This window comes from Homo sapiens, chromosome 1 (genome assembly GCF_000001405.40).
Source record: "Homo sapiens chromosome 1, GRCh38.p14 Primary Assembly".
Classification (NCBI taxonomy): Eukaryota; Metazoa; Chordata; class Mammalia; order Primates; family Hominidae; genus Homo; species Homo sapiens.
In genome coordinates, this window is record NC_000001.11 from 198,850,999 (window position 1) to 198,868,096 (window position 17,098).

General features: G+C 32.7%; 1 long non-coding RNA gene and 2 other non-coding genes across 3 annotated transcripts in view; all 3 read right to left on the reverse strand.

Moving 5' to 3' along the window:
* MIR181A1HG (MIR181A1 host gene) overlaps positions 1 to 17,098 on the reverse strand; it is a 129,427-nt gene that overhangs the window by 42,996 nt on the left and 69,333 nt on the right. The window lies entirely within an intron of this gene.
* Positions 7,875 to 7,984, reverse strand: MIR181B1 (microRNA 181b-1). The gene has a single exon (NR_029612.1). It is a non-coding gene; the product is annotated as a microRNA 181b-1 (primary transcript).
* MIR181A1 (microRNA 181a-1) lies at positions 8,046 to 8,155 on the reverse strand. The gene has a single exon (NR_029626.1). It is a non-coding gene; the product is annotated as a microRNA 181a-1 (primary transcript).

Below are 17,098 nucleotides of genomic sequence, written 5' to 3' on the forward strand. Positions count from 1 at the left end.
CTAGCACTTTGGAAGGCTGAGACAGGCCAATCACCTGAGGCCAGGAGACCAGCCTGGCCAACACAGTGAAACCTCGTCTGTACTAAAAATACAAAATTAGCCGGCATGGTGGCACATGCCTGTAATCCCAACTACTCACTCAGGAGGCTGAGGCAGGAGAATCACTTGAACCCAGGAGGCGGAGGTTGCAGTGAGCTGAGATTGCACCATTGCTCTCCAGCCTTGGCAACAGAGTAAGAGTCTGTCTCAAAAATAAATAAACAAACAAATAAAAAGTGAAGAACAACTTGTGTTGTATTTTTTTGAACCAATACCTAGAGTCTTTTAAAACAGTAAAGAGGCGTATGTTGTCAGCTTAAAACAAAACAAAAAAAGGGAGAAAACTTGAAAATAAAATTTTCTCAAAAAGGCAAAATCTAGACAAAAATCAAGAGAAATTTTTAACTAAACTAAAGTTTTGTAATGACTGGTCATGAAAGGAAATCACAAATGAAAATTAGACTCTCTCTTCTTTTCAAACTATCTGGAAAAGAAAGATTATTGATAAAAGATACCCACTTATAATAATTCCTTTAAATATTTGAAATACATTTTAATTTTTTATACACCTTTCTTAAGATATCTTGATGCTACCATTGGGCAATGACTGCCCATTATTACTTAAAAGCACATCCTAGCATGTGAGTTATGACTTGATTCTTATTATTTTTCATTAAAAAACTGGTAAAGTTTGTAACTGATCAAGTTACAGAAATAATAATCATTATATTATTAATGATTATGTTATGTTATGAAAAATCAAAAGCAACATTCAAAGCCAAATGAGTAGTCAATTAAACATTTTAATATTTTATGTTATGAATTCCAGTCCATGTACATGAAAAGTATACTATTAAATGGAATTTTCATCAATGAACTTTATATCATTTAACTGTCAAGCACTCAAATTCCTTCAGAGGAAATATAAAAGATAAGAGTACATAATTGACTTAATCTTTCAAACTAACTCATTGTTACTTATGCTTATTTACCTTAAAATTTTGGACCTGAGTTTATCTTCAGATTTAGAATGAGAATAAAGTTAAATAAAGCGCTTTTATAAAGCATTGTATCATTCTCTGTGTGTGTGTTGTTTATGTTTAAATAAATGCGTGCTTTATAACATTTAATAATTTTAAATGCTGTCATCAATGCCCTGTGACTAGTAGGTATTAGAGTTCTAGCACTTTGGAGGGCTTTTAGTTCAATAAACAAATACATTTGGAATTTAATGATAAAGATATTTTTAAAATAAAATCATTTAGTAGCTTACTATTATTAAAAAGAGTATAAGTAACACGTTTTTATCTCAGAAATGTAGAAGATATAATGAATATGATAGAAAATGGTCAAAATTCCAGCACTAAGAGTTAAAGAAAAAAACATAACTTGTTATGTATAGCGGTATGATCATGCACAGGAATAGAGTCTACTACTACTACTAAATATTTACTAAACATCAGGCACTATGCTAAAGTCATTGTATGGATTATTTCATTTATCCTGAAAGCAACAATGTTCAGGTAGGGAATATTATACAAATTATATAGTTGAACAAATTTAAGCTTAGGAAAATTAATTTCTCCATGATTACTCTTCTAGTAAGTTGGAATTTAACTCTCTATCTGAGTTCTGAAAAATTTATACTTAAATATAAGCATGATTTTTAATTAAAATACAGTTATTATTATTTTCCATCATACATGTCATAATTCATTTTCCCGCTCCTCGTTTTTGAACATTTAGCTTGCTATTATTAAAAGTTTTAAAATAATGCTGCTTTGAATCTCTTCATACATACATACATAAATACATTTTAAAACATCACACTTCCTAATTTCAAAAGATTTCATAAAACTATTGCAATCAAAAACAGCATCGTACTGGCCTAAAACAGACACATCAACCAAAGAAACAAGAAAGCCCAGTAATAAACCCAACTACTTATGGTCAACTGATTGTTGACAAAGGTGCCAAGAACACACAATGGGGGAAAGACAACTACTTCAACAAATGGTGTTGGGAAAACTGGATAGCCACTTGCAGAAGAATAAAATTGGACCCTTATCTTATACCACACACTCACATCAACCCAAAATGGATAAAGGACTTGAAATATAAGACCTGAAACTAGAACTTTTAGAAGAAAACAGAGAGAAAAATCTCCATAACATTGGTCTGAGCAACGACTTCTTGGCTATTACCCCAAAAGCAAAAACAACAAAAACAAAAATAGACAAGTGGGATGGCATTAAACTAAGTTGTTTCTGCAGAGCAAAGAAAACAATTATGAGAGTGAAGAGACACATAAGTGATATATAGATATATAATAATGTGTGTGTGTGTATATATATATATATATATATATTCTCATCCATGGACTGGAAGAGAGTATTTCCAAACTATATATCTGGTAACAGGTTAAGATCCATAACATGTAAGGCATTCCAATTTAAACAATTCAATAGCAAGAAAAGAAAAAAACCTAATTAAAAATGGGTAAAGGATCTGAACAAACATTTACCAAAAGAAGATACACACATGGCCAACATTCACACCTTTTTTTTTTTTTTTTTTTTTTTTTTTTTACAGAGTCTCACTCTATCATCAGACTGGAGTGCAGTAGTGTGATCTCAGCTCACTGCAACCTCTGCCTCCTGGGTTCAAGTGATTCTCCTGCCTCAGCCTCCTGAGTAACTGGGACTACAGGCATGTGCCACCATGCCCATCTAATTTTTGTATTTTTAGTAAAGACAGGGTTTCACCATGTTGGCCAGGATGGTCACGATCTCTTGACTTCATGATCTGCCCGCCTTGGCCTCCCAAAGTGCTGGGATTACAGGTGTGAGCCATTGCACCCGGCCTCAACACCTCTTATCATAAGGTAAATGCAAGTTTAAACTACATTAAGGTATCACGTCACACCTGTTAGAATGACCATTGTCAAAAAAACAAATGAGAAGTGTTGGTGAGGATGTGGAGAAAAAGAGAGCCCTTGTATACTGTTGAGGGGAATGTAAATAATTAGTATAGCCATTTTGGAAAATAGTAGAGAGGTTCCTCAAAATACTAAAAAGAGAATTACCGTATGATCCAGCAATCTCAGTTTTGGGTATATATCTGAAGGAATTGAAAATTGGTACATCAAACAGACATCGACAATCTCATGTTCACTCCAACTTTATTCCCAATAACTAAGATATGGCAGCAACTTAAGTGTTCAATAGACGAATGGATTAAAATAAATGTGGAATATATAAACAATGGAAAATTATTCATCCTTAAAAAGGAAGGAAATTCTGCTATTCCTGACAACCTATGTGAAACTGGGGGACATTATGCTAACTGAAATAAGGGAGGCACAGAAAGATAAATACTTATGATCTTATACACATGTGGAATCTAAACAATTTAATTTCATAGAAACAGAATAAAAATGTGGTTACTGGAGGTTGGGAGAATGGGAGAGGAATAGTGATAGGAGAGATGTTTATTAAAGTTTACAAAGCTTTACTTAGACTACAGGAATAAGTTTTAGTGATCCTATCGTATCGCATGGAGACCACAGTTAATAATAATGTGTTGTATATTTCAAAATTGCCAAAAAGAACAGATTGTTAACATTCTCACCATCAAAAAATGATAAATTCTTGAGGTGTTAGATATGTTAATTACTTTGATGTAATTTTTCTACAATATGTTTGTAGATCAAAATATCACATTGTGGAGTTCAAGACCAACCTGGCCAACGCGGCGAAACCTTGTCTCTACTAAAAATACAAAAAATTAGCCAGGTGTGGTGGCACGTGCCTGTAATCTCAGCTACTTGGGAGGCTGAGGCAGAAGAATCACTTGAATCTGGGAGGTGGAAGTTGCAGTGGGCTGAGATTGCACCGTTGCACTCCAGCCTGGGAGACAAGAGCGAAACTCAGTCTCAAAACAAAAAACAAAAAACATAAAACAAAAACTAAAACAAAAAAATCACATTGTATCCCATAAACATATATAATTAGTATTAGTCTATTAAAAATAAATACATAGGTAAATGAGAATTCTAAAAACACAATTATTGGATAAAAGTTTACAAGCATTGTTAAATTATTGATAAAATTATTTCCATAACATTTAAATCAGATCATACTCTCATGAGCATTGTATAGTTCTGAAGGCAATGAACAGAAACCATCCTTAGCTAAATAAAATAGGACTTATTTTAAGCCATTAAAATTATTATAGACACTGAAAACAGCCATCAAAAAAAAAAAAAAAAAAAAAGCAGAGCAAAGATGGCTGGGAAAATGGTTTCTGGACCTGGAGCTTTTTGGACTAAAGATTTTTCATCCGTCTCTCAGGGAACTGCAAAAATCTCATGTCTATTTCTTGTAGCTGCTTTTCACTAACCAACTTCCATCTTTTATTTACTTTTTTTATATATAAACAAAGAAAAATGTTAATCTATTCCAAAGCTTCATGAAATTATACATTTTGTACACACCTTCTACTCCTGAAGGATTTATGTTTATCTTAATTCAAATTCATAAGAATGAAAATATAAAAGTTTCAGTCAAATGGATGGATTGAGTCCCTTTGGCACAGGTGTGTACTTCTGATCTAATTTGCCATAGCTGGAAGGGTGTGTTTCCATGTTCAAAAAATAAAGTAATGGAAATGGAAAAATCAAGCCCAGAAGTTTCAGCAGAAACCAAAGACAATCCAGTATAGCATGAGAACATTCATGTCACCATCACTAAATTTTCTTCATCAGTTAGCTTTACTAAAGAAATATTACATCTCATGGTTTTAATTTGAATTTTCATAAGTGAAGCAGAATTTTACATCATGTAGGTCTCACTCATTTGCTTTACATCTGTGACCGCTCTGTTCATGTCCACTGTTCATTTGTCTCTTTAGTTGTTAATTTTTTCTTACTCCTTTTTGTATATTAAAAATGTCATATATTAAGTGTATTAATCTTTTTTCTTTCTTATTGTTCATATTCATTTTCATTTGGCTATCTGCCTTTTCATTATATGGTTATTTTTGACACGTTATAGTTTGAAGTTCAATGTAGTCAAAGTCATGCTTGTCTTTTCTTTTTGCCTCGTTTGTGTTAAAATTGAAAATGTTCTTCATCATTTCAAGGATATTAAATTTTCAACTACGTTTATTTTAGAAAATTTTCAGAAATTACATTTAATTCATTAATATACTGAAATTAAGCTTGAGAACTTGTACGAAGTTCCAGATATTATCTTTTTCTCATTTAGCTAATATTCACAATGCTTTTCCCGCCAGAACGATCCATCTATTAAACATTTTATTCCAAGTGGATTAAACGGTTTCACAATATGATTACATTTTTAAAATCACTTTTTAAAATACTGTGAAGAAAATATTGAACAGATGGATGGCTGATGGTGGGAGTTAGGAGACCATTGGAATAGTCCAAGTAAGAGGTGTGCGTTTCTGGACTAAAGTTCAGTAGAAGTATACAGAATAATTGAAATATTAGCAAGATAAAAAGTGAACATCTTCAGGACTGTGCGATTGTATGTTTAGAAAAGGAGAGGAAGCAAGGTCCAGGAACATGAAATGAATTGAGATTTATGGCTTTGGTTTCCAAGTAGATCAAGAGTGTTATCCCTTGGGAAAAAGATGATACGTTATCTGTAGTCATGGATGGGCTTTGGTCTGTGAGAAGAGCAGAAGACAGATATGTAGCTTTGGGATGTGTAAGCTGGAGATAAAGACTTGGGTATCTGCAGCATCTGAGCAGATGTAAACATCATTCACGTGCCTGAGATTCCTTCAAAGATTGTGAGACAAGAGAAGAGAAAAAAAGCCATAAAGTTAAGAATGGGTCTCAGAAGGATACTGGCATTGGGAGTTCAAGCAGATGAAGAGCTTCTTAAAAATAAATAAATAAATAGGACATCACTGTAATAAAGAGAGAAATCCAAATGAGAGTAGGATCACAAAAGTGAATGGGGACTGGAGTTTAGGAAGAAGTGGTCAGCTGTGTCAGGCATCAAGGGGAGTTCGAGTAGGACAACTGGCAGAAAAGTTTGATTTGTATTTGGCAATATGGAGCTCACTGGTGATTTGGGGAAAAGCAGTGTCATTAGAATGATGTTATGCACAAGTGGGAGAGAGAAATGGTAGAAGATGCCAAATTACATATAGTTGAGGTGAAATGGGAAGTAAACAAATATAGACAGTGCTGCAGGCTACTATGTACTATTTCTAAAATCTTAGCTTTTAAAAAGAAGAAAAGAAGTGGGGTAAGTAACTTGAGGATAAAGCAAGTATAGAGAAGTTTTTCTCAAATTTCTTTTGTTTTCTATTTGAGAAGAGAGAAAACTGAACCTTGTTACATGTGAAATGGAGCCAGATGGTGAGAGAGGAGGGGGATATCACAGGGGAAGAGATGTCCCAAGCAAGGCAGGAGGCTCACGTGAGACAACTCAGGGCAGAATCCTACGCATTCATAGGCTATAAACAAGGAAGTGGAGGGAATAATCACATGGACTCAAGCTTCTCAATGAAAAACAGAAGTCAGTTCATCTGTTGAGAGTGGAATCGTGGAAAGGAGCAGTTGAGGAAAGAGGTAAACATTTAGGCTAAACATGAGGGAGTGGAGTAGAAGAAATGCTGGGTCAGAGTTGAGGGACTGAGGCACTTGGAGGCCCCTGAGTATGTGTATTAATGTGTCCATATGATGATGTGATTTTATTTTTCAGCAACACTGATATTGAAAGGACAGTTGCCTTGGAGATAAGAGAATGAGAAACTAGAATGGTAAGAAGTGATAGACAGAGTGGGATATTAGATATCGAATGTGGTAAAATATTTTAAGGTTATGATGAGGTCAAGAGCCGGGTCCCAGCAATGGGTTTCTGTAATGGGAGTTAAAGGCAAATGGGATTTAAAAGATCAAGGAAAAGAAAGGATAATTTATTTGACCATTAAAAAAAAATGAACATTGAAGCCATCCAGGTACTCCAAACATAGACACTTGAGAAAGCATTTTATTTTGCTATATAATTATTATCATTACAAATGGTAAACTTAAAACTGCTGTGATCAAATTTAATGACAGATGTCCTATATAAAAATGCAGAGGCAAACCACTTAAGAAAAACCATGATATGCATAGGCTTTTACTTGCAAAGTCAGATGAGTAAACATGAGGCAATTAATGGGCCATGACTGTAAGTCTAACCACGCAGTTCATGCACATAGAAAGTGGGTAAAGTTTTAAAGTGGAAATTGAATTGGGAAAATCAATCTACTATATGACTGTCATGAGTGTTCTGATAGTTATATAGTTATGTATATATTATTTTCTTCGTATTTAGCATGTTACATAGCAAGAGGCAGAATTATATGAGCAAATCCTCACCCAGAGAAGCAGAAAGCTAAAATTATCTGGTGTTTCTATCCCACTTTGACCAGAACATCTAACAAAAGTTGTAAAGAACACATATTTGTAAGTGTGTTATTGTCAATGGCATGGGTGCTGAGGTCCTACTTTATGTCTTTTTTTCACTCACACTACAACAGTAGGAAGGTGAGCTAACCTAGATGATGATACTGTACGTTTGATGGACAAAATAGTTTTGCCTTTTCTAAAACATGCTCTGTTTATAGCATACAAAAGATAGAGAAGCATTATTCTTGTTTAAACCAGAGTCTTTTTCATTGAAATCTCATCACATGATATAAATTGAATAAATAAACCAGAAGATGCTGACGAATTGGAAAACTTAAAGAACAATAGTACTATTTTGAACACATCTTTCAAAGATGGAATATCTGTTGATTGTGACAGCAAAAAGCGGGGCCACAGTTGCATTCATTGTTCAGTGAGCTTGTCCACACAGTTCAACCCACCGACAGCAATGAATGTTGATTGTGACCTTTTAAAAAATAATCTCTGCACAGGGAAGAGAAAGTCCTGGTGTGTCCACCTTTGGTTTCCTGTCTTCAGCGAATTCTGAGCACCATGGAGTAGATGATGGTTAGCCATAGGGTACAATCAACGGTCGATGGTTTTGATTTTAATTCCAAACTCACCGACAGCGTTGAATGTTCACTGAAGCAACCTCAAAACTCAGAATTCTACTCACTTTACAGTATCTGTAAGTATCTGAAGGGGATGGGAGACAGAAACAACAGTACCTTTAGTCATATATTTTATGCATTTTTATGCCATTTCAAAAGACTACAAAAGAAGACAAATAAGAAGCATGATTCTTCCAACAAAGAGTTTGGCAAACCTCCACATCACATTGTATGAGAGAAAAGGATCGGTTTCATTAAGCAAAAACATGGCCGATATTGGGCTAGTTCCAGAGATGGAATTATCTCACTGTTAAAGACAGGGACAATTTGTTATTCAAAGTACTTTGTGGTATAAAATCCAAACAATATCTTATAATTTAAATATTGTTACGCTTATAGTAAGCAAGCATTATGTATATAGCTTATACAGAAATTAAACAGAATTACCTTAGATTTCCTCAAATTGGCATTGATGATATCATTTATATTTACATTATATATTTACTATATTTTATTCTAAAATAAGGTTTTAAAATTAGTATAACTTCCTAAGAACAATCTTATTTAGAAAATGCTGAACAAATTATAAGTGAAGAAACCAGCTCAATACATTTTTCTTAGTTTATGGCACAAAGAGTTCATGAATACAGTGAAAGGTAAATACAATCTATGTATGCTACAAAACCGTTCATTTCCTATTATTTTAAATAACATCTAACATCTAACATCTCTTTATGGGTAGATGGGTGAGGGATTCTTTTCATAGTCTTATTTTCTAAGACTGTTTTATCATTAATGCTTATTTTAAAATTATTATGAACTCTACTGAATTTATTTTTAGAGCCATTTTCAATAATTTTCTACCATCAATTAAAACAAAAGTCACCTTGGATGTATCTAAACCAGAATAGAAAGTCATTATTTCACACATTTAAGTTGCATCTAATATGGTTATAGAGTAATTATCTGTAGGAGGGACAACCCACAATAATTTGGAATGCTACTTTGAAGGTGATAATGGTCTATTCAAGTCAAGGCAATTACTCTCGAAATGTTAGTGAAATATGTATCCCAAATTTTTACACATTCTTACATTTCAGTCACTTAGAATTATTTTAAAGCCAATAATTGTTTAACCTTTTAGACAAACTATTTACATGAAAACTTCAACAGATTTTTTTTGAGAGAAACAGGGACTAGAGATCAACTGGAAGTAAATTTTAAAGTGACAAATAGGCACAGAATATGAAACAGTGATGTATCTGAATTTTGCATTGTTTAATTCTTTTGAAAGAAGCAAATTTCTCCCACAGAATAAAACCCTAGAAGAATGCTTTATCAGTAGGCATTTCTGTGTTGCTGCTGGAAAGAATATTATCATGAGACTGAGGATTCATTTGTTTGCATTATCAATTACGACTGAAAGCATATCACTCCTGTTCTGTTGCCTGCCTATTGTGGTATTAGTGTCAGGTCAATATACAACTGTTTTCAATCATGCCTATTCATCTCTTGCTACATCTGCTAACGTTTGTATAATAGGGATGTTGTGATAAAAGACTCCATGCTCTGTATTTTCCCTTAACACAAAATGCATTTGGCCTACCAGTAAGCAAAGCTCTAGGTCAGTTACAAATAATTAAAAGGCATAACTATGTTATCTTTTGTTTTCCAAAATATTCTCCTAGAAGTCTTTGGAAGAATACAATTAACTTAATCCTAAAGTTGTTACATTCTTAGAATAAAAATCTTAACTATAATTGATTTAACATTAAAATTCTTAAAAATCTTATAATGATTCACTTGAAACAATAGAAGTTACATTAAATGTCTTGTTATTTACACATAAAATAGCAATGATAAATAAAGTGATTAATTATTTTTTCTTTCCTTGGGCTAATCATAGTCATAGTTTGTTAAAGATAAAACCTCATATCTTAACAGTTTAAATCCTCCACAATGGAAAATAGGATCTCTGTGTTCTTGCTTCCAATTAATCTAATGTCAGAGAAGATAGTAAACTTTAGGCTCTATATTCTAAATTATTTCGAGCAATACAGAAAAATCGTTCTACTTGTTGGTGCAATTTAGTTTTCTGCTCACTTATATGGTCTTGCAATTACTGTCATGTACCTTCCAATCCTATATCTTTTCCATCTTTATTTTCACAACTTAATCCTTAGTTATAAATCATTTATCTTTAAAATATTAAGATGCAATGGTACTGAGATTTCACATTTTCTGGCAATTTTTTAGAACACATTGTTCATAATTCCAGAATTCCAAGTTGGTGGTAGCAATATGCATTCTTGCATAGTTTTCCTTGAATGAAAAAAAGTCACAAGCAATAGGTCATTAATGCATAAATACTCTCTTATCCCCCTCTTCCTAATTTTGGAGGGCTGTGTGGGTAGGATAAAACCAATCTAATTTGCATCAAAGCCAAATTTATTGTAGCTTTCATTTCTCATCCCTAGGCTTGTGGGAACATTAAGTATTTCAGTTTTGCTTAAGGTTAGTAGGTCATAAATAAACCAAAGCAATTTTTTTGCTTTGTGCAAGAGGGTCACGAAATACATGAAATACCACTTTTAAACAAAGCAAACCCTAACATGAATTGACAGAGGAACATAAAAAAGTAGTGCAATGTGCCTCAGTAAAAAGCCATAGGGATTTGGGATGCTGAAGTTGTCTGTTTTAGGAATAGATTATATATCTTGTTTGATGATCTGTATTTAATTTAAGTGACTGCCTCTGCCAGTCCTTCCAGAGGGCAAGTGTGTGAAATAGAGCATCTCAATGTCAGTCTCCAGTCCTTTCCTCTGCCTGATGCCTTGACCTAAATTGGGCATGTGGGCATTGATCTGGACAAATGAAAGAGACTGAGTCTTTGCTGCCATGCACGTTTTATCCTTAGTTCTACCTAGTTTTAAAATCTGATGAGCAGCATGTATGCATAAATAGATTTATAGTTTAGTCAGTTTTATTTTATGTCATGAAAGTGAATCTATTCAAAACAAAAGAAGTGAAAAATATTGCATTAAAAAAAATGCCATTGCTGTTTCCTCCTCCTCCGAAGGAGATAACACTATCTCTGAAACCCATCATAAATAAAATTTCTGCTTAACCAGTATTTTGGGGTCCCAAAGTCCCTTTCTCATGTCTGTCTCCATTTTCTTAGAAGATTTCTTCCTCTGCTCAGGATATAAAATCTTAATAAATGCTTCAGCACTGGCACTATTACCTTCCCAGTTATGCAGTTAAAGTGCTTATCACAGAAATGTTCTTCTGGGTAATTATAATTGTAATTATGGGGCCTTCTGGCTGCTTCAATAGAAAAAGCAAAAGCACAAAAGAGGTCAGAAACTGACTAAATGTGATGGAGAGGCAAGTTGGGCACTTGGACATGTTTCTCCACTGAGAAAGAAGGAAAATCAGGGCGAGTCATGCCAAAGCTTGGCTCCAATGAGGTATCTTTTACTAGCGAAACACTAGCACCCCGCAGAAGACTATAATTATATTTCCAATAGTTTTGTAATTAATGATAGCCCTTACTCCTGATAACAGCAAAGGGCCTGAAAAGTTTCTGGTTTTCCATCCCAGAAAACTGTGTGAATAATTCTACATTACTCTCTTTGTAAAATTTCTTATGAATTTCCTTTTGAGAAGGGAAGAATTTCAACTATAACCTTTGCACTATTTGATAAAGTTATTAGTAATTGAAAAACATTAATAGGTTTATTCTTAACATACATATTAACTGTATTTACATATAAGAAACCCACATTGTGCCTCTGTTACAAAACAGACTTCGAGTGATTTAAAAATCTTTTCCATAGTAAGATCCAACCAATTGACACATACTGAACACTGAAACTTTTTTGTTCTTTTTATTTTTGAGGCAGAGTTTCGCTTTGTTCCCAGACTGGAGTGCAATGGCACGATCTTGGCTCACTGCAGCCTCCGCCTCTGGGGTTCAAGAAATTCTCCTGCCTCAGTCTCCCGAGTAGCTGAGACTACAGGCACGCGCTACCATGCCTGGCTAATTTTTTTGTATTTTTAGTGGAGACGGGTTTTCATCATGTTGGCCAAGATGGTCTTGATCTCCTGACCTCATGAATCCGCCCACCTCAGGCTTCCAAAGTGCTGGGATTACAGGCGTAAGCCACTGCATCTGGCCAACATTAAAAATTTTTAAAGCAGCTTTAAGCTCTGGAAAGATTTAGAGATTTACAGTCTACTCAACTTTTTGGTTTGTTTTTATAAGTGTTTACAGATATAAATGTTTGTGTGTTGTTTGTTCAAAAACTGCATACAAACTCAGACATTCAGAGTTTAATGTAATAAGAAAGTTAAAAAGAATCATTGTAACTCAACATTAATATTTTAATAATCTCCCATTGATTATTGATATTATTGATCATTATTGATATATTTTGCTTATTTTACTTTCCTCAAATTGATCACTTCTTACCACATGCTGGTTTAAACTGTTTTTGTTCAGTAGAGTGTATACATGCACACTATGTCTGTATGCATAAAGTTTTTCTATGCATATGAATTGCAGCAATGTAAAGGTGTAGTTTATTGGGCAGCATAATATAATAACTAAAGAAACAGCAATAGAACTGAGTCAATGAACCCATGACCTCCCAGTCACTAGCTTCATTGTATAACCTCTATGAGATTTGGTTTTCTGAATAAAATCTAGATAATAAGACCATTCTCATATACAGTGGTTCAATATATTTCTGAATAATCCTTTATAACAGATATTTTATAGGGGATACCATTATTTAAGGGGACCAGATTAAATCAGCGTCTCCTAAGATTCTAACGCTTCTTCCCTCAAAAACAACTGTTTTCCCACTTCTAAAATAATAAAAAAAATCTATTAGCTTCAAAACATATATATATATTTCTTTTTTTAATTTATGGCACAATAATATTCCCAGTAAGGTACAGCACTCTGCTGTGTGGCTTTCTTACCTGGTAGGTGGTAATGATTGACAGACAGGGAGAGCTCTTCCAAGACAGGTAGCTCTAAAGAGGATTGATGTCTACTTGAAAGTTATAATTAATCTTAAACCCGCCTAAAGTTAGGAACCCTTGATTAATCTAATGCATCCCTGTCTTAATCTTCAACATTAATGCAAAGTATGAAGACTATAGTGTATTCAGGATAATTATTACTGATAACTTTTCAAAATAGTTTCTTGTTCTTGAGCTTATTCTATATATTATTTTAAATCAAATCAGTATGCCATTGGCTGTCTACGTAGAATTAGACTAGTTTTTAAATTTTGTTGTAGTTTCGAAAATTGTTCAATCTTCATATTTTTTAATATTTTGAGATTTGTCTACTGGAAAGCTATTTCAATGTTTATTTGCTCTGAAATTTAGACTTCTTCCTGAAGCAAAAAATAAAAATAAAAATAAAGTGAGAGAGAGAGAGGAGAGAAAATGAAAGAAAACAGAGAAAGAGAAGAAAAAAAGAAAATATATATAACTACAATTTTTTCAAAATCCATGAGCTTATAGTGCAGATAAATTATACTGAGCTATCAAAAGTAATCTTTTATAAACAATGAGTTACTTAAATAATCAATTTACAAAAAAATTGATAGAAAAAATCTCATTTTTATAGAAAAAAGCACAATGATGATGTGAAGTTTGAAGTTAAATGAATGTAATGAAAAATTCAAATCATAGTTGAAGCCATGTTATTTTTTTCATAAAGAGAATCCATCGTGTAATAGTATAACCCCATGACTTCCACAAACTGTGCCAATGCCACAGTGAGCAGTGTTTATTTTTAGCAATGAAATATAGTGCCCTCGATCCAAGAATTTGTACTAATAGTTGATTAATTCTTCAGTTTAGAAAGTACAGATACGTTAACTGATATTCAAAATAACTTAAAATTAATCCCAAATAAACACTACCATATCAGTAACACAACTTATGTTATTACGTTGTTATTATTAATACTAAATTAATATTTGAAAAATAAGAGTGATATGTGTGTTAGAGAAAGTAAGCATTTTTGGGGGAAAATTTTTTTTTCTGGGACAATTGACATGATGGACATTTGTTATGAAAAGTAGACCCCCTTGCTTAGACAAATTATTAAAATTTGCTAGTGAGTGGAACGTGAAATGTACAATCAACAAAAAGACATGCTAGGCTTTTTAATTTTTTACGTGAATCATTAAAATGTTATTTTATTGTATCATGTTACTTTGGAGAATGAGTGATTATAATTGTATTTTTAGAATATTGATAATATCTTTCAAGTTTTCTTTGCTCCATTCAAAATACAGTCTACAAATTGGAATCTCCCAAGCTCTTTGACTGCATTCCCCACTATGTTATTAGAATACCTTACTATTTTGGGAGGATATTGTGGACGTATTTCTGGCTTCATAAATTATACAAGCATCTGTTCTTTCAATCAACAGGATACCATTTGTTTTTTACATCAATCTGTGTGAAACAATGTATATAATACTATTTTATTTCCCGTGAGCTTTTAGCAAGCACTGACTTTGCAGTCAAAAACTGTTTGAGTAATTAAAATGGTGGAAGAGAGATGAAAAATAGTAACAAAAATGTATTACAAAGTAAGATCTGTGTGAACTTTTAAAAATAATGTATGATATAAAAGTAGTTACACTATCTTTCTGGGTTTCTATACTACATAGACATTTTTAAATCAATTGACAGAACTTGAGAAGTTGTAAATACAAAGCTGAATATCTATTAAAAGGTTATTGCTCATGGCTCTAATATTACATAAAATGCTATGTTAGGATAATATGAAAATTTATAAAATTTTTGATACTGAGTTCTGATACACATTACATGGATTGTTTACTTCACCACAATTGTCTTTATAAAAATTTATCTTTTAAGAATGAAGAATCTAAATAGACTTGAATATGCAAGAAGTTCTCTAAACCTTCCCTAATGTAACCAGCAGGTTACTGTTTTCTCTCCATGGTGACCTGTGGACTGAGAAAGGATTCCAGCCAAAAGTCAAGACTCCATTATAGTTAAATATTTTATTTCTTGATAAATAATATAAAAATGAAATACTTTAGCTCAAACATACACCGTTATGACATGTTTGGATTATCTAAAGAATACATGCATTGATTTTGGACTCTGATAAGAAATCTATTATAGTCCTGAGATTCTGCAACTTTTTAGTTTCTATTTTTTATTTTCCTTAATCAAAGAGTGATTCTAGAGGGCTTAGTTAATATTTTCTCTATGCTACATTTAAAAGAACAAATAGGCAAAAATCCAGTATTTTTTTTAACAATTCACAGTACTTTTTTCTTTATAAAAAATATTTATAGATGAGCATATTCCTTGAACAATAGGATCATGTGACTACTTGATTCATTGAAATCACAACTGAGGAAAGAAAAAACAAAAGACTTAATCTGGTGATTACTTTGTGTTTCTACCAACATAAGGATGTTCTTTATTACATGTGTAGCAATAATACAGATGTTATAACAACTTTAAACTACTCAGAGTCTTTACAATATTTTCTTCTCCAAAAAAGATACTTGAAAATAAGATAGACAGATAAGTGAGAAAGTTACTTCACAGTAAGAAAGTTTTCCTCCATTCGTATTTTCAAATCTTCACTGTTGGTCTGCTTTCTTTTTATACTTACATATGTACAGAAAAATGAATGGCTTAAATTTTCAAAAAGTACCATATTATTGATGATAGCCTATCAGAGATAAAGGTAAATCACATTTGATGTCATTAGGTAACTGTGGAAAACTATGATTTCATTTAAACAATCTTTATGAATTTATTACCTACAATCCTGAAAGGACCCCTTCCCACTACCACTAATCCATCTAAAACACCTAGTTTCTAGCAAATACATGATGTAATTGTGTTATACTTTTAAAGTTATTCCTGTGGGGCTTAACTTACAAGCAACCTCTTTTCTGCATTAAATATAAATGGTTACCGGAGATCAATGCAGAGAAAAACTGATACAATTACCCAACTGAAGAATTACTTTCAAAAATATTAATATTTGCAATTAATAATACAGTGGCTTTATAGTTTACATTTTTTAATCAGCGAGGGTATTAATTAGATGATCTTGGATCAAGTTAACTTAGGTGCTTTTTAAATACCTCGCCTGAAACTCTAATTAAATATACTACTCTTCCCAGTTTCCTGTCTTAAAACTAAGTTTTTAGTGTCGCCTGGAAGCTGTTAAACAGCTGCAACATTCGAACCATGAAACTGATGTCTTTTAGGGATGAGTGGATTACGCAAATGCAAATACAGTTAAGTTTCTTCTGGGAAAAGGTCTATAAATGCATAGATTTAAAAAAAATAAGCTTAGTTATCAAAAACTTTCAGACATAAGAATATAAATATGCCCATAAGTACCTTAAGTGCTTTATGAAAAAAGTGACGATTACTATACAAATAAACAAATACATTGTACGGCCATAGGAGGAAGACAGAAGTATTTATTCCCTAGAAGTATTGAGCTACATACTCAAATTGGCACAGAGACTCAGAACATTGAACAATTTGAGACAAGCTATCAGATAGTGACACAATTCTAGCTTATTTTCCATGTCCTTTATATTATTCTATGTATATAATGTATTAGCTTCTATTAACAGTTTTTTATTTTCTATTTATTAACCAAGAATTTGTTTCAAAATTGTACAAGAAAACAATATAAATTAAGTTCCATATTTGTACCTCGAGACTTACAGGCTATCTGATATTTCCAGTTGACCTTTAATATAAGGAGAAAATAGGATAGTGTAGTAGGTTAAGGGCAAGTACACCAAGATGATATAGAATTCTAGTTTCAATGCTACATATTTTTCACTGTGAAAAGTTTTCTAAAAATGAAATATAGACACACCAGTAATTTAATCAAAGTTTCTCTTTCTTGGCCTATCTCTCTCACTAGCCAGTGAAATCCTTTGGGTCA